This window comes from Homo sapiens, chromosome 5 (assembly GCF_000001405.40).
Source record: "Homo sapiens chromosome 5, GRCh38.p14 Primary Assembly".
NCBI lineage: Eukaryota > Metazoa > Chordata > Mammalia > Primates > Hominidae > Homo > Homo sapiens.
The window spans coordinates 128710278-128729219 of record NC_000005.10 but is presented as its reverse complement, the minus strand read 5'-3'; the positions used below and the strand labels follow the sequence as shown (position 1 = coordinate 128729219).

The window sequence follows — 18942 nt, the reverse complement described above, 5'->3', positions numbered from 1 at the left end:
GGCATATACCCAAAGGAATATAAATAATTCTATTATAAATATACATGCACACATATGTTTATTGCAGCACTATTTACAATAGAAAAGACATGGAACCAACCCAAATGCCCACCAATGATAGACTGCATAAAGAAAATGTGATACATATACACCATGGACTACTATGAAGCCATAAAAAGGAATGAGATCGTTTCCTTTGCAGGGACATGGATGAAGCTGGAAGCCATTATCCTCAGCCAAGTTACACAGGAACAGAAAACCAAACACCTGATGTTCTCACTCATAAGTGTGAGTTGAACAATGGGAACACATGGACACAGGGAGGGGAACAACACACACTGGGGCCTATTGGGAGGGGAGCAAGAGGAGGGAGAGCATCAGGGCAAATAGCTAACGCATGTGGGGCTTGAAACCTAGGTGATGGGTTGATAGGTGCAGCAAACCATCATGGCACACGTATAACTATGTAACAAACCTGCACATTCTGCACATGTATCCTGGAACTTAAAGTAAAATAATAATAAAAAAAGAAAAAATGTTCATATTGAATCTTTCCAATGTGGCACACAGTGTGCTACTCACAAATTTCCACTCCCCAACTTGTGTGTGGAAAGCTGTGTCCAAGAAAACAGGTGAAGACTTACATTTGCCAGTTCTCTTGGTATTCCCATTTTATGGCTTTTGTGGGAATGCAGTTCATGCTTGTCTGCTATTTTATTTAATTTGCCTCCTTGTAAATTCCAGCTGTTGACCATGTAATTAATCCCTGTATGGAAAAAATATTGGCGTTTATTTCTGCAATACATACGCTTCATCCCAATAGGAGAATATATTCATCATAGTCCTTTTCATTATTCTACAGTTGTTCCTCGAAACCATTTTACATACCACACAATTAATATACACTGGGACTCTGCTCCCAACTTCTGCATTAGAACTATGGCTTTCATTTGTTCTTCTTCATTTTTAATTTCTGAACTCTAGGGTTTTAAGTAAAGAGAATCTTTTGTATTACTCCTAGAAAAGACTACTACTTAACTTATCAACTTATTGTAGAATGTGGTAACTAGAATGAGTACGGTGGATAGATCTTAGTAACATAACTGTAGCTGATACCAGAGACAGTCTTTGACATTTATCTTTGGCCACAATTTTCTCTTACTAGGTCCTTTTTTTTCTTTTTTTTTTTTTTTTTTTTTGCTTTCTATGCTACCTTTTGCCTCTTTTCAGTTGTTCAGTCTTTGTAGTCTCTTCTTTCTACAGATGTCTTAAAACTTGTTTTTCTCTATTACACAAAAGTAAAAATGGCTGATAATTTTAAGTACCATCCTCACTGGGCTATTTGCCTTTTGATTGGGACCAAGGCTTTATGATAACAAGAAAGTTCATCTGCTTTTGTTCAGAAGGTGACTGGACAAAGCTCTAGAAAGCCAACCTGTTCCTGGCATGTCATCTTATACTTAGTTCTTATACTATACATATACAAGGCCATCTTGGTTCACTATGACATGATTTCTGGGATAAAGATAACACCTACATTGTTGGTTTTGACTTGATGACAAAGTAAACCCTTAGACATTCTCAAAAGTTTAAGTTTGGTTAAAGAAATTGATGAAAGATCATCAGCTTGTAACAATGTCTGAAAATCATTTTTATTTAAGCCCAGAGAAGAAAAAGCTAATTTTAAAAAAATTATTACTATCTGGAAATTTACCCTGATCGGAAAATATATGTACTAATGAAGAACAGCTGTGTTGTGGGCAAAATTATGAAAGCAAATTGCATGGTTGACTGGTTATTTCTTTTTAAGACAGAAATCAAGAAGACATATTGCTGACCCAAATGTGGATGGACTTTAATATGTATTTGTTATATATAAAGTTAAAGCCTGCTTTATAAAAGGTTACAGTTATTTATCAACTTACATCTATTGTCAAATAGAAAAGAATTTGGAGTGAATATAAATGCTTAATTTGAAGAAAAAGTAGAAAATTGTAGGAAGAAATCCTCCTGAGTGCAAAATTTTAAGGAGAAAGATGTTGTTGAAAATGTCTAAAGGATTTTCTAATTTGTCATTTTCTCTAAGATATTTTAAGGTCCACAGACTGTTAGCCATACCACAAACACATAAAAGGGAGCCAGAATCAGGGTAAAAATAAATGAATTTCTTCAACTAATATTATTTGATAATTTACCCTAATTTAAGTTGTAGGTGGTGTAAAAGTAAACTAATGTGGAATGTGTTCTAAAGGATTCTGCTTGGGTAGGGAAGAAAATATGAATATAAATGATTTAATAAAAGATAATGAATCTATTAATTATATTCACTTTAGTGTATATCTTATGGATAAAATAGTTTTATTATCATCATCAAAAGATCGAACCCTTTATTAGTGTGGTTTTAGAGAACTAGTCAGAAATATACACATAAATCTCAATATGTGTTAAAGACTATTCTTCTGACACTGTTACAGCATCTTTGTTTTTGTGTTATGAACTGTTTTACTTTTTCAGATTGAAATAGAACTAAAATTTTTAAAAACCTTTTCTTTCAAAAATATGACTGTAAAATTTAAATTATAATAATACATTTTATATTCTGAAAACAAGTTAGTGCAGATTTAGAAATTGGACATCTAGAAGGCAGCTTTATTACAAAATCTATCCCAAAGTTCATGTCATCTTTACAGAAACCTATCAATATCCTCACTGCAGTGAATGCGTGACCATGGGACAGAAGGCAGGCTTAAGCAAGGCATTTGGTGTACGGGGTTTTGCAAGGTTTATTCAACTAAGATGTGTTTGCATGTTTTTGTGATATGGTTTGGCTGTGTCCCCACCCAAATCTTATCTTGAATTGTTGCTCTCATAATTCTCACATGTGTGGAAAGGACCCGGGGGGAGATAATTGAATCACGGGGGTGATTTCTCCTGTACTATTCTTGTGGTAGTACGTCTCAAGACATCTGATGGCTTTATAAGGAGAAATCCCTTTTGCATAGCTCTCGTTCTCTCTGTTCCCTGCTTTTTGCCTTCCACCATGATTGTGAGGCATGTAAGACATGCCTTTTGCCTTCCACCATGATTGTGAGGCCACTCCAGCCATGTGGAACTGTGAGTTTATTAAATCTCTTTTTCTTTATAAATTACTCAGTTTCATGTATGTCTATATCAGCAGCATGAAAACAGACTAATACAGTAAATTGGTACCAGTAGAGTGGGGATGCTGCTGTAAAGATACCCAATAATGTTGAAGCAGCTTTGGAACTGGATAACAGGCAGAGGTTGGAACACTTTGGAGGGCTCAGAAGAATACAGAAACATGTGGGAAAGTTTGGAGACTTGTTGAATGGCTTTGACCAAAATGCTGATAATGATATGGACAATGAAATCCAGGCTGAGGTGGTCTCAGATGGAGATGAGGACCTTGTTGGGAACTGGAATAAAGGTGAGTCTTGCTGTGTTTTAGCAAAGAGACTGATGGCATTTTGCCCCTGCTCTAGAGATTTGTGGAACTTTGAACTTGAGAGAGATGATTTAGTGTATCTGGTAGAAGATTCTGTTCTCATGGTAGTGGATAACTCTCACAAGATCTGATGGTTTCGTAAGAGGGTTCCCCTTTCACTTGGCTCTCATTCTTTCTGTTCCCTGCCACCATGTAAATATGCCTTTTGCCTTCTGCCATGATTATGAGGCCTCCCCAGCCACGTGGAATTGTGAATTCATGAAACCTCTTTTTCTTTATAAATTACCTAGTCTCATGTATGTCTTTATCAGCAGCACGAAAACAGACTAATACAGTATGCAAACTATTTAAGTATGTCTCCTGCACACTGCTGCCTATTGAATTTGAACGTAAATTCAATATTGAATTTATATATTCAATAAATATAAGAAGATATATTTATTATTTATATTTATGTCTCTCTTCTCAAATCTCAGAGAGAATTACAGCCCCATAGCCCCATAATCATGGTTTCTACAAACAAACAGTAGAAATGGAATCCATTCTCCAGGCTTACTCTTACTCCCACACACACAATATTTCTTATTTTACAGCATCTGGGTTAAGAGTTACTTAAATAGGAGTTTATTTACTTTTTTGTTTGTTTATTTGCTTTAGAGACAGGTTCTTGCTTTGTTGTCCATGCTGAAGTGCAGTGGTGCAATCACGGTTCACTGTAACCTCAAACTGCTGGGCTCAGTGATCCTCCTGCCTCAGCCTCCTGAGACTAAAGATGTGTACCACCAGGCCAGGATAATATTTTTTTAATTCTTTAGAAGAGACAGGGTCTTACCATGTTGCCCAGGCTGGTCTTGAACTCCTGGTCTCAACTGATCCTCCCACCTTAGCCACCCAAAGTGCTGTGATTACAGGTAGGGTTTTTTTTACTTTTATGTAAATCTGAAAAAAGCAACCTTCCCTTTTTAAAAAGAAAAAAAGTATTTTCTTTACTGCAAATTAATAATTCTGGTCATGGGAAGTGTCTACCTTACTCTGGACCTTCACTTTTATAGTGATTTAGTTGAATCTTCTGTTGACCCACAAGCACTAGCTCCAGGACTAATGCTCCTGAGAATTGGGCAGAAGGAAGACATGAGCACCCAGATGACCTCTAGAGCAACATCATTTGCTCACTTTCCCTACAGCAGCCATTGCTTCCTTTGCCTGTAAGCAGTCTGCCAAGAAGGGGTGCATATATTTCTCTTCTTCCAAATTAGATTGTCTTGCCATGAAAAGAATGTTTCACTGAGTCATTGGGTGAAGCTAAAATCCTTTAAAAATGAAACCCAGTGGAACTATAATTATATATATTAAATTGTAACATGGTTTGCGGTAAAATACTTTTTGAATAACAAACAATGAATTCATAATGGAATTTTTGGAAAGTAATTCAAAATAAGACCCATAGAAATGCTTTTTCTTAATCAACAAAGAGCTTGTGTTAGGCTGCTTATGACCCGATGTTAGCCAAGTGAGATGACAGCTGCAGAGTGTCTTACAGTCTGCTCTTCTTCAATGCCACAGCTGTAACCAACACACCTTTCTGCTGAGGCACTATATTAGTCCGTTCTTATGCTGCTATGAAGAAATACCCAAGACTGGGTAATTTATAAAGAAAAGAGGTTTAATTGCTTCACAGTTCCACATGGCTGGGGAGGCCTCAGGAAATTCATAATCATGGCAGAAGGCACCTCTTCACAGGGCAGCAGGAGAGACAACAAACGCAAGCAGGGGAAATGCCAGACGCTTATAAAACCATCAGATCTCATGAGACTCACTCATTCTCACGAGAACAGCATGGGGGAAACAGCCCCCATGCTCCAATCACTTCCCACCAGACCCCTCACAGGACATGTGGGGATTATGGGAACTACAATTCAAGATGAGATTTGGGTGGGGACACAGCCCAACCATATCAGGTACACAATGGCTTCCTCTGCCTCTCCAATGCAACATGCACATCACCCTGCTGGGGAGGGAGAAAGGGATGCAAGCAATGCATTTAATCACCTTACATTTTTCCCTCTATTTCAATCTGCTCCCTTAAGACAAATTGCCGTTGTTAAAATGCATAGTCTCCTAATTTTATATTGATTAGAAGAGGCGGAGCTTGCAGTGAGCCGAGATCACGCCACTGCACTCCAGCCTGGGAGACAGAGAGAGACTCCATCTCAAAAAGAAAAAGAAAAGAAAGAAAGAAAGAAGTGGTCTAAGTTGTTGTTGCACTGATGAAATCACCCACATATATATATTGTCCATCTACAATTTTCTGCTGTCAAGAAATTGCAAAATAATACTAAATTTTTCATTTTCCTAAAAGTAAGGCAGGTAAGCACTTCTGCTTTCTACGTGGTAGAATTTTGATCTGATGAAACCATTAAAGTCAAAAACTGCTGGGGAGAATAATGACCCAATTTAGGTTATTTTATTGATTCTATGTCCACCTCCAGAAATCCCTGCTCAAATTCTGTGACTTACATTTACCTTGCTAAAATTATTTGTAGCTGAACTTACTTCATTCCAATCTCATAGCTGTTCTACTATCTGATAACCTTTTCCCAATAAACTTTAAAAATTTTCTCCATGGATGATTTACTTCTTAGTACCCATCCCCAATTAGTAAACAAATAATCTTCCAAAATGAAAAAGACCTAATGAAATTATTTAAATAGAATTAATTGGAAGAAAATGTTCACAAATGGGAAGACATATAATAATGTGAGACACGGGATATGAACCCAGGGTTTTGGCAAGTGAATTTTTAAAAGATGGGTGTTCAGGAGGTGTAGGTGCAGTTTGGGTATGGGAGTGGAAGGAGGTGGTAACAGTAGAATATTTTCTCACTTGAGAGTGCTGAGAAAATACAGGAAAAGCAATAGAAATTCTGGAATTTTAAAGGAATTCACCAGTTGCACAGTTGAAAGACAAAGATGGGGGGTGGATAGAAAGGGAACTGAGAAGTAGGAGTCCTCAGGGACTTGGGCTTTCCAATCTTACTGTGTTTTCATCTGGAATACATTATTCCAAGATCCTTCCTTACTAAATCCAGAATCCCCTTTCTGAGCTTTAAACTATATCTGCTTTACGCTAAGAAAACTACTGTAAAGTTTTCAATTAATTTTAAAGAACTATAGTTTTATGTTACTTGGAGAAATCATTTTTTATTGAAGACAGACAAGTAGAAAGTCTAGAAAATATCTAAGATACACACATGCAGAAATAATGTAGAAACATTGAGAGGAAAGTGAACAAATTGATGGAATGGAGTGCCAAGATCTTGGAAGGCATTTTGTATTTCTATTAGTGTTTTCCCATGAATTTTAGGCAATAAATTAGAGTTTTTTAAATGAACCCTCTAAAATATTATTTCCATGCCACTCCTGGTTGCTTTAACTTTAAAAATACCTTCTTAACCTATCTACGTTTCTCCATCTTCACTGCCTACCCCTGACATAGCCATCACCTTGCTTTCCTGAAGAGCTGCATGGTCTCGTCATTGGGCTCCCCACAATCTACTCTAATTCCTTCCAATCCTTGTCCACACTAGAAACAGAATGCACTTTTCAAAGCAACAATAATAAATGGAACCCTGTGGGCACTTTGCTTTAAATACTCAGTGACATCCTACTGATCTTTCATAAAGCACAAAAAAAAAATTTTTTTTTTTTTTTGAGATGGAGTCTCGCTCTGTCACCCAGGCTAGAGTGCAGTGGCACCATCTCGGCTCCCTTCAACCTTCACCTCCCAGGTTCAAGCGATTCTCCTGCCTCAGCCTCCCAAGTAGCTGGGACTACAGGTGTGCATGACCACGCCTGGCTAATTGTTGAATTTTTAGTAGAGACGGGGTTTTGCCATGTTGGCCAAGCTGATCTCAAACTGCTGACCTCAAGTGATCCACCAACCTTGGCTTCCCAAAATGCTGGGATTATAGACATGAGCCATCACATCCGGCTGAAAATTCTTGAGATCGCTTTGCATCACCCTGTTCTGGCCTCACTCCCTCTCCCAAGTGCACTGCTCCACTTCTCTGATATACTAACTTGCTCTTTCTTCCTCTTTGCTCAGGCCTTTCCAACAGGCTGTGGAACACTTTTCTCATCATATTAACTTTTGCTCATCTGTCAGATCACAATTGAAATGTCACTTTCCCTCAGGGAAGCACTTCCTCACCACCTCCCAAATTTGATCAGTAACCCTTGCAGTACCTTATACCTCTTGGTCCTTTTCCTTCAAACTAATCCCAAATTATCCTTTTATCTCCATTTATGTGATGATTTGTGTACTCTCTCTCTCTTTTTGATGTAGGTTCTATAAAAACAGCAACTCTGTCTTATTTACAAGTATATCCTAGAGATAATACAGTGTCTGCCATTTAATAAAAAATGTTGAATAAATGAATGGAATAGAAGAGACCTGTGACGGGAAAGTGATTATCACTAATACATGCATTTTTAAATACTTATTTTTCATTAAATGTTATTTCAGTTGACTATTCATGGGCTACTATTGGTGTACCATTCAGAAATTTCATGAAGGGTATTTGTCAACTTTATTGATTTTAAACCACATCCCCTCTTAAAGTGACTTAAAAATATCTCTCATGAAGTTTTTTTTTTTTAATTTTTTGTAGATAAGTGCAAACTTAATTTACAGTTCACTTAGATCATTCAGTCTGCGGAGGTTAACTCTTCAATTTAAGTTCTTAATGTAAATAACATTTTCTCAAGAGTTTCTGGGTCCCTAAGATAAGTGCCCTTCTTCTGATATTCCTTGTGAGCAGGTGGCTCTCCACACAATAATCCGGAAATAGTCTCCTTCCATCTTGGGGATCTGCCATCTCCTGGAACCTCATGGTCATTTATATGCAACCAGACAATAGACAAAGGGAGCCTGGAGAAGGCACGTCTACTTCTTCAAGGACACACATTTCTTCCTTCATTTCCATCAGTGAGGACCTATGAGATGACTACACGCCACTAGAAGAAAGACTGAAAATATAGCCTAGCTGTGTACCAGGTAGAAGAAAACACAGGATTGGAGAACACCAAGAAGTATCTGCTAATCTGGGTCTCAGGCGCCTAACTTTTATTAAATGACCACTAAGATGTATATATACTCTGTGCCATGGAATTATGTTGGTATTCCTCTTTAAAACTTTTAGTCATGGTAACATCAAGCCAATTCCAGTGGGAGTTAAGTTTAAAATTGATGCACCAAGATTTCAGCAAATCTTCATCAAGCCCTGTTGCTTTAGGCTCCAAATCAGTTGAGAGTTGCTGCGTTATCTACCTCCTAGACCCAGGCATAGTAGCTGCTGCACAGCATGACTAGATCGAAGGTTTGCATGAGTGACTGACCCACCGTGCCACAACACTGCCCACCCAAGCTGCTGGACAGAGGAGAAGGCCTCTGTATGCACACCAACTGCAGGGAAAGAGGTGGGATTTCTAGCACTCTTGAGGCTGCTTGGTGCAGGAGTGAGGGTGTGCAAAATAATGACTCTGGATCAGGAAAAGTGAAACAAGGAGAAAGTGTGTACTTCCACTGCCCTTTATGCTACAGAGACAGAGGAGTCTACCTTAAAGTCCTGTTGCAACTGCCTTATTCTTACCTTGAATCTAGATACTCTTTAAGGAGTTTTTTTTTGTTTTCGTTTTTGTTTATAGGCGGAGTTTCACTCTGTCGCCCAGGCCGGGGTGCAGTTGTGCAATCTTGGCTCACTGTAACCTCCACCTCCAGGGTTCAAGCGATTCTCCTGCCTCAGCCTCCCAAGTAGCTGGGATTACAGCCTCCCGCCATCAGGCCTGGCTAATTTTTGTATTTTTAGTAGAGACGGGGTTTCACCATGTTGGCCAGGATGGTCTCAAACTCCTGACCTCAAGTGATCCACCTGCCTCGGCCTCCCAGATTGCTGGGATTACAGGTGTGAGCCACCATGACCAGCCTCTTTAAGGATTTTTTAAGTTTGGTTAAAAGAAATAAAAGTATTCGAAATTATATGATTCTTTTCCTATAAACAAAGAAAATATCCAATGAAAAGGCAAAATGCCTGCAAACTTATAAATCATAAATTAGAAAAACTCAATTGTAATTTATACAAGCAAACTTATCTTCTTTTCCTTACCTATTTCACCTTCTGTAGCTACAATCTCCATCAATCACTTCATCTTACAAAGTATCTAAGCACAAAACAAAGAACTATCTTATTTATTTTAAACCCAACCATATCCAGTCCATCAACATGTGATGCTTGCCCTGTAGTCTACGTGTTTCTTTATCGAATGTCTTCTCTCTACCGTACTGCCTAGCACAGATCCCATAGGATTTATCATTAGGACTCTAGCAAAGTCTTCTTTCCAAAAAGACTAGTCTGACCACCACACACCATTTATTTCCCAAGTATCTTCTGTGCGCCTCTAATGCTTTGAACTCACCTCCATATTATAGCTAACTTTTCCAATTCCATCAAGGTCCTCATCTGTAAAATTGAGGTTACAATAGTAGTTAAGGTATTGGGTTGTTATAAATAAATGAAAGTACTTGAAGAGTTTTCTTCATATTGTCTTACAAGTATTTCTTATATTCCCAGGACTCCTCAAAATTCTGCTTCTCAGTTTGTCAATAGTGGGAATTTTATTATCTTTATCTTTGTATCCCTGGGGCCTGCCTCATTGCCTGATATGGAGAAGGACCTCAACAAAGGTGCTGAATAAATGATTTAATAATAATGGCCTGAAGTCAGATCATACACAAAAATAAGTATTGAGACTTCCATAAATCTTTTACATATAAACATAATTAGACATTGGCCACTCTTTTTAAGTTTCTGCATTTTTTTCTTTCATTTAAGAAAATACCATAAGGAAAATAACATTCACTATAACTGCGTAAAATACCACAGACGTCAGGAAATGTATGAGTTAGAATTGTTATAATAAACTCAAGTTCACCCACATTGCACATAATGTCTATTAAGGTACCCTATTTAATAGTGCAGCTAGTAATCACAAAAATTATATATGTGCAGTGTGAGTGAAGTATAGTTATTACGAGAGCTTTACCTCCTGTATCGCTGGACTTTTTTCTGTTCTTTTTTTGGATAGCACTGTGTTGGTACATTAGTATTTTGTTTATTTTCAAGTAATTTCTCTAAAAATATGCAACTTAAATTTTAGGGTGGAATCTTTTTAGAGAGACAAATGTATTTTCCACAAGTACTCACAGGTCCAGATCTCTCAGGAATATTCAAAGCATTCCTTTGGTGACTAGGAGTCACCAAAGACTCCTAGGCTGAGGAGCTCAAAGTCTGTTCAATGTGCAAAACCTCAGGACTATTGTTAAAATTCCAGGCAAACTAGAAATTACTTGAGCCAGAAATTATACAATTGTATACAGACCTCCAAACCAGTGGTTCTTCCCTAGAGCACTTTTAATCATTTTAGGAGAAAATAGCTTTACTTTAAAAAGCATAAAACTTGGAATTGTATAGAGTGTTGGGAAAAAAAGGCAGTCAAAGTGACCTTGCAAAGTGAACTCCTTGCCTGGAAGTGACCACCACTGGCAAAGCTTCCAGAAAGATTTTACATCTATAAATTGAAAAACCTGGAGTCATAGGTACCAGAAATATACAGTGCCTTGAGTAAAGATCCGTTTTATATGATTATTATTTTTGGATTTAAATCAGAGAAGTCTCTGTTTTTAAGCAGTTCTAAAGTACAAGAACTGAGACGTGAATACTCAGCCTAACCATCTTAGTTCAAATATGTTATAATAAAAAGTGGCTCAGGATCCAATAAAAATACTAAAAGAATTTTTCCTGAAACCTGGAAGTTTTATTCTAAAGCTTACATTAAAAATACACAAATAATAGTAACCAGAAAAAGTCTGAAAAAGAACAATGTAGAGGACTAGCCTCTCCAGATACTAAGACATACTATAACATATCAATAATTAAAACAGTACTGAATTGAGTGTGAATTACCAAGTAGACCAATGAAACAGAATAGAAATTTTAGAAATAGATTCAAATACCTATGGGAAATAAGAATATGATAAATCAAGCTTTTCATATCAATAGGCTACAGATGCACATTTTAATAACTGGTACTGAGACAACTGAATAGCCATCTGGAGAGAGACAAAGTTGTTCCGATACCTCTCTGCACACTCTAGGAAAAGCTCCAAAAAGAATAAAGGAATACATTTTTTAAAGAAAACCATATAAATATTATATGAAAACATGAGTGAACTTTCTTATTACTTTCAACCAGAGAAGAGTTTTCTGAGCATGACGTGAAATCCGAAGACCATAAAAGACTGAAAAATGAGAATACATAAAATAAAAAATGAGAGCCAGAGAAGAAAGAATCATAAGAAATTGCAAGACAACTAACAAACTTCAGAAAAACTTGCAACACCTATCACAGATGAATGTAAATTTTCCCAATATGTAAAGAGCTACCTACTAGAAATCAAGAAAAGACAAAAAAACCCTGATAGAATTACAAGGAAAAGATATGAACAGAGAGATCATCCACACAAAATATACCCCTTAAACAGGTTAAATTATGTTCAATCTCACTCATGTTAATGAAAATGTATAGTCAGCCCTCCATATCTGTGGTTTCTACATCCACAGATTTAACCAACCGTAGATGGAAAATATTTGGGAAAAAAAATAAAAAATAAGAATATAGTGCAACAATAAAAATATTGCACATTTAAAACACAATACTTTCTAATAATTATTTATTATATGCAATGTATACAATTATATACAATGTAAATGCTCCATTTACATTGTAGTGGGTACTATAAGTAATCGAGAGATAATTTAAAGTGTGCAAAGTGTATGAAAGTGTAAGAGGATGGGAGGAAGTGTGTTGGTTCTATGCAAATACTACATCAGTTTACACCATGGAATTGAGCATCCAAGTATTTTAATATCCACAGGCATCATGGAACCCATCCCCCAAAAGTACCAGGAGACAACTGTAAAACTATACAAAATTACCATTTTTTACTTATCAACTTGGCAAAAATCTGAAAGTTTATATTAGTGGAGGAAAGAAAATGACACCACCCCAATGCAAAAATATTTGGCAGTCTCTAAAAAAATTTCAGATATATCTTTGACCCAGAAATCCCATTTCCAAGAATCTATCCCAGTGATACAATATGAATGTAAAATCACATATGTACAGATGCCTTCACTGCAACATAATTATAAGAGAAAAAGATCGAAACTAACCCAAGTAGCCCACAAGAAATAATTAGTTGAAGAAATTATGATGCAGCCACTCAGTGCAATAATATACAGTTTTTTAAAAGGAAGATCTTCATGCATTGATATACAGAGATTGACTGCCTATGTTCTTAAGAAAATATACTTAGGTGCAGAAAAGTGCCACATTCTGAGGAAGAAAGAAGAGAATGTGTACATATATGTGTTTGTGAAATGAAGCAATGGAAGGATAAACAAGAAACTAATAAAATTATTTACCTGTAGGGGCAGGGTTACAGAGTAAGGTAAAAAAGGATAAGTATGGTATAAAGAAACTCATCAATATAGTTACCTATAGAGGGCAGGGAAATAGAATAGAGGGGGGCAGGAATAGGAGCAAAACCCTGTGTATATGTTTCTACACACTTTTAACTTTTGAATCATGAAAATTCATTACTATTCAAAAAATTAATAACTAATTTTAAAACAATCTCTTATACTGAAATTAATTGTCTTCTGCTAGTCTCAAAGTTATGTCAGCCCAGTAGCAATGAGTACCCGTAACACCAAGATTTTGATCTATATCTTCATTCTCTAGGAGACCAGGCAATTTAGAGAAATAACTAATTTTACAACTGTGAGCCTGGGACACATTTTTGTACCAGAAATAAAGCTTTCCAAAATCAATGGAGTCATATCAAAAGTTCATGGAAGCCAATTCAAAGGTGTCACACTGGCCCGAATGGAGAAAAAATAAGCAATAAAAGAATGATTGAATGGTTTGAAAATAGAGTCACTATGGAAGTCCTCACAAAATAGTTAACCCTGAGTAAAGACTTGCAGGAGAGGACCAGCAAGTAAATACTGGGAGGAGGGAATGTTCCTCCCGGAGAGATAACAGCAAAGACAAAAGCTCCAAAACAGGAGAGTGCCTGGAGTACTGAAAAGCACAGGTGGTCAGTGTGACTGGAGTTCAGTGAGTTAGGAGAGCAGTAGTGGGGTCCAGATCACAGTAGAAACATGTGGCATCGGCTTCATGGTCATGTGACAGTGATGAATGCTGGATGCCAGAAAGATGGAAGCCTTTGCTATGCAGTGACAAAACATTTTAAAAACTGACATTTTCGGGCCGGGCGCGATGGTTTACACCTGTAATCCCAGCACTTCGGGAGGCCGAAGCGGGCGGATCACCTGAGGTTGGGAGTTAGAGACCAGTTTGACCAACATGGAGAAACCCCGTCTCTACTAAAAATACAAAATTAGCCGGGCGTGGTGGCACATGCCTGTAATCCCAGATATTCAGGAGGCTAAGGCAGGAGAATCGCTTGAATCCGTGAGGCGGAGGTTGCGGTGAGCCAAGATCGCGCCATTGCACTCCAGCCTGAGCAAAAAGAGTGAAACTCTGTCTCAAAAACAAAACAAAACAAAAAAACCTGACATTTTCTATTGCTTCAAAAGCAGATCAACTGCGTTTGAACCTTTGGCTCTAGGGGAGAAGGTCAGAAAAATGTTAGAGGTTTGTGTTGATTTTTACTGGATGCATTTAGCAATATTTCAAAAGAAACAATTAGGCTTAGGCAAGAATTGGCAGTTTCAAAGCAATTATTAAAGGGAAGAGAGAGTAGAAAGAGATCTGAGGCCTCAAATGCTAGGAAAGTCCATTGCTACAAACTCCAAACAATGAAAAGCCTTTGAACAACAAAGCCTCATTAAGACTCAGCTCTGTTGGCTGGGTGTTAATGGCTCACACCTGTAATCCCAGCACTTTGGTAGGCCAAGGCAGGAGGATTCCTTGAGCCCAGGAGTTGAAGACAAGCCTGGGCAACATACGGAGATGCCATCTCTACAAAAAAAAGAAAGAAATGAAATGAAATAAAAAAAAAAAAAGACTCAGCTCTGGGGCAATGATCAGATTAAGGGTATGGCCTTCTGTGTAAAGTAATGGCTTCATGATAGGCCATTCTGTTGCAGGACAGGCTTGGGGGCAAGGAAGCAAAGATACCAGGCTTGTGTATTATGTCTGGGAAAGGATGAGCATATGTTCACTGACACATAAAACTAATGAAATCAAATTAATTCATAGTCTACTAAATTTTCCTGGGAGTTGTATTGCCAAAGAAATGACAAACGTCAACTAAAAAAGGCTTTGAATGTTTGAACAACAAAACAAGACTAGGGATCCCAAATTTATGCCAGAATGGAGTAGGCTGCAAAAGCTTTACAGCCCCGATGCCACATGCCCCCAAAATGACTTCAGTAATGGCCATGGAAGACAATAGGCAAGGACAAACCTCCCAGAAGGTAGAACTAGAGGTCACAGAGAACTATGAACAAAAGAGTTTCTGCCAGAGAACAGAATCAGGTCTAATCAAGGAACTTCATTCAACAGGACTAGAAGGTTTTGACAGGGATTACCCTGTGGGCTTTTGTCCTTGTTATGCATTTTCATTTTCAAAGTAGAAATTTGAATTTTTATTATCTTGTCCCTGCTCCACTATTATGTATTGTGTGTGTGTGCATGAGTGTTGGAGAGCAGGCTGAAAGGGCATGAACCATAAACCTCTCTCTAGCTTACAGATTTCAAGATCCATGTTTACATGAGTAGCAATGTGCCATGTAGTAGCTGGAGATCCTGACCTTTGAAGTGGGTGCACTGAATGAGGGGAGCTTCAGGTTATCTTTTTCTAGGAGGTATCAGTGGATGGGGGAAAGAACAAAACTGATAGCCGGTGCCTAAAGAACCGCTATTCACTAACTCACTCCTTTACTCCTGGCACTCTCATCAGACTACCTTTCCCACCCTCCCTGCCTGCCTCAGAAAAACGTTTGTCTTGATCCTATACTCTCTCCTTTCACATATTCCAGTAAGACACTGACCTCCAGAATAATGTTAGAAGCCATGGTGTGAATTTAACAGAGCCTCCATCAGCCTGAATACCTGAATGACCACGTGGAGTACAGCCTCTGTCCTCCCCATCACCTTCGAATTAACTCTGAGAAAAAAAAAAAAATGATTATATTAATCAACTGAAATTTGGGCTTGATGTTTATAGGAACCTGTAGACAGCAAGCCAGGAGCTAAAATCTTCAAGGAATAAAGGGATATATCCCTGGGCAAGGAACTATATATAACTGCACTTGATTCAGTAGTAAAATTTAATCTGATGACCTAAAATTCAAAGATAGAGGAGTTTGTGGATGAGAAAGAAAAAATGATCCAGAAGTAATGGTGATGATCTAAGAAAACAGCTACCCAATCTCCAAGCCTGGTGGTATAAGGGGTGTGGCAAAGAAAATGCCCACCATTGGAGAAGGACAAAGAGGAAGCAAGATCACCAAGAAACAGCCAGATTTCAAAGCAAGAGTGTAAGAGGATGCTCTTAGATGAGGTGGAAGGCTTCAGAAGATGGATAGCTTCTTGGCTCACTGCAACCTCCACCTCCTGGGTTCAAGCAATTCTCCTGCCTCAGCCTCCTGAGTAGCTGGGACTACAGGCACCTGCCACCACGCCCAGCTAATTTTTGTATTTTTAGTAGAGACGGGGTTTCACCATATTGGCCAGGGTGGTCTCGACCTTCTGACCTTGTGATCTTCCCACCTTGGCCTCCCAAAGTGCTGGGATTACAGGCATGAGCCACCGCACCCGACCTCTGCTGCACGATTCTAAGTGGCTAGTTATCTTCTTTCACACTTTGTTTTTTGGGATTTTGTTTTGTTTTGTTTTGTTTTGTTTTGAGACAGAGTCTCACTCTGTTGCCCTGGCTAGAGTGCAGTGGCATACTCTAGGCTCAATACCACCTTCACCTCCTGGGTTCAAGTGATTCTCCTGCCTTAGCCTCCCAAGCAGCTGGGATTACAAGTAAGTGTCACCATTCTTGGCTAATTTTGTGTGTGTGTGTGTATTTTTAGTAGTGATGGGGTTTTGCCATGTTGGCCAACCTGGTCTTGAACCCCTGACCTCAGTTGATCTGCCCATCTCGGCCTCCCAAGGTGCTGGGATTACAGGCGTGAGACACTGTGTCTGGCCTCACAACTTTGAATGTATGATTCTATTATTTCTACCACTGTTAAGAAGTCAGCTAATTGTTTTTATATTGTATTTCAAATTTTTATTTATTACTTAAACAATACTTGTCTAGCATTTGCCATGTGCTAGACTCTGCTCTAAGAAATTAACAAATATTAACTTATTTGATTGTCATAATAATCCTATGAGTATAAGATAGGTACTGTTATTGTCATTCCTATTTTCAATTTGATTGACCTTAAATGACTGGTCCATATCACCGATGTAAAGGCCTGTTCATTAAGTAAATATCTACAAATAAGTACTTAAGAAGCTATTTAGAACAATATACTGGCAATTAATCCAGCAAATATCAGTGAGACTAGAATGGTTGACCAGACACTCTCTTGGAAATCCTGATACAGGCTGGGTATAGCAGCTCATGCCTGTAATGCCAACACTTTGGGAGGCCAAGGGGGGAGGATCGCTTGAGCCCAGGAGTTTGAGACCAGCCTGAGTGATTACATTGGGAATTCTCATCTCTACAAAAAATAAAAAGGAATTAGCCAAATATGGTGATATATGCCTGTGACCTCAGGTACTCACAAGGCTGAGGTGGGAGGCTGGCTTGAGGTCAGGAAGTTGAAGCTGCAGTGAACTGTGATTGCACCACTGCACTGCAGCCTGGACAATAGATCAAGACCCTGTCTCAAAAAAGAAAAAAGAAAAGAAAAAATCCTCATACATAACTTAAAAAAAAAGAAAAAGAAAAAATTCTGCATTTAAGGTGAAGTGAGAGCCTTGAATAGACAAAGGAGGCAGTTTTTTCTTTCTTGGAGCTATTTGAGCTGTTCCAGTCTGCCAAATGTAAAATGGTAGGAAAGGCACTACTGCAAAGGGCACCAGAAACTAAGAAGAAAAGCAGTGGCCTCAAGTCAGATGACACTAATTATCAATGTAAAATATATGTCACCTGTTTAGTACCAGCAAAGGAAAAAGCAAGACCGCAAATAGCTGGTAATGAAATCCTGTGGAATTGCAGTTGAAACTCCCCTGAAAACTGCTTCAAGCCAAATGCTTGAGTCACCAGATGTCCACTTCCTAAAGAGAGAAGTCTCTATGAGCCAGGTCCTACTAAGTTCAGTTAGTTTATTGCCAAAAGAATGTCTAAAGGGCTTTTTACCCCTATTTTGATTCCACATTGTGGCGATTTTGCTGCTTTTCAGATTATTTTTGGAGGCTTAGAGGTAGAAGAAAATATGCAGAATATTCAAAGAAACTGAAAAAATAATTCTGTATGGCTGAGCATAGATTTGAATGGAGAGCAGATACTGTTACCAAAATACTACAATTTCAGTCTAGGTCCCGCTGCTCACCACAAAGAAAGCCAATCACTGAGACTATAGTATTGCCAGGAAAGGAGGCTTTAACCAGGTGCTGCTGCCAAGGAGTTGGGAGATGTATCTCAAATCCATCTCCCTTACTGACTAAAATTGGGAGTTTATACAGCAGGGAAGGAATGTAACTACACCAAGGTAAATAGGAATTAGGGAGGGCTAAGGAAATCATGAAGGATGAAGGTTTTGGCTTCTCATTGTCTGGATGTGGTGATCTGGTGAGTTTCAGTTTCTTGATACTGTCTAGTTTCTTGAGGAAGAAACTGGGGTAAGACCAATGTAAGTTTCAAGCTTTAAGGCTGGGTCAATTTCTATGTTTATTTTAAAAGACTGTAAACATCAGTTCTATGGGACAATTGGGCCGATTTCAATATGATGTGACCCAAGAGGCACTCATATTTTAAAATTATTACAAAACAAACAGTCCCTGAATTCTGAATCCATTCTAAGTACAATGTATACTTTCTGATATACAGAAATCTGTATGATTTCTGGTTTCCAATAAGATTAAAAGGAAAAAAAAAAGCAAATCTGTAAAGGTAAGTAAAACAAGAGTTGCTTAGGGCAAGTTTAGGTAACCCTCTAACTACAATGAGATCAAACTTGAAAAAAAATCATTTACATTGAGTGCATAATACTAAAAGACAGCATCACCTAGAATAAAGACAATATACCTAAGATATATGTGTGTGTGTGTGTGTGTGTGTGTATATATATATATATATATATATATATATATATATATATATTCACCCAAACACGGAGTGGCTAGAATTGTGGAGGGGGGCGGGTAGGAAATGGAGATGTTTTA

General features: G+C 38.1%; 1 long non-coding RNA gene across 1 annotated transcript in view; it reads right to left on the bottom strand.

Moving 5' to 3' along the window:
- LOC105379168 (uncharacterized) overlaps window positions 1–18942 on the bottom strand; it is a 273909-nt gene that overhangs the window by 206546 nt on the left and 48421 nt on the right. Inside the window, exons 3-4 of the long non-coding RNA XR_001742460.1 lie at window positions 15606–15721; window positions 645–766 (exon numbers count right to left, since the gene is read on the bottom strand). This is a non-coding gene — a long non-coding RNA (uncharacterized LOC105379168). The remainder of the gene's footprint in view (window positions 1–644; window positions 767–15605; window positions 15722–18942) is intronic.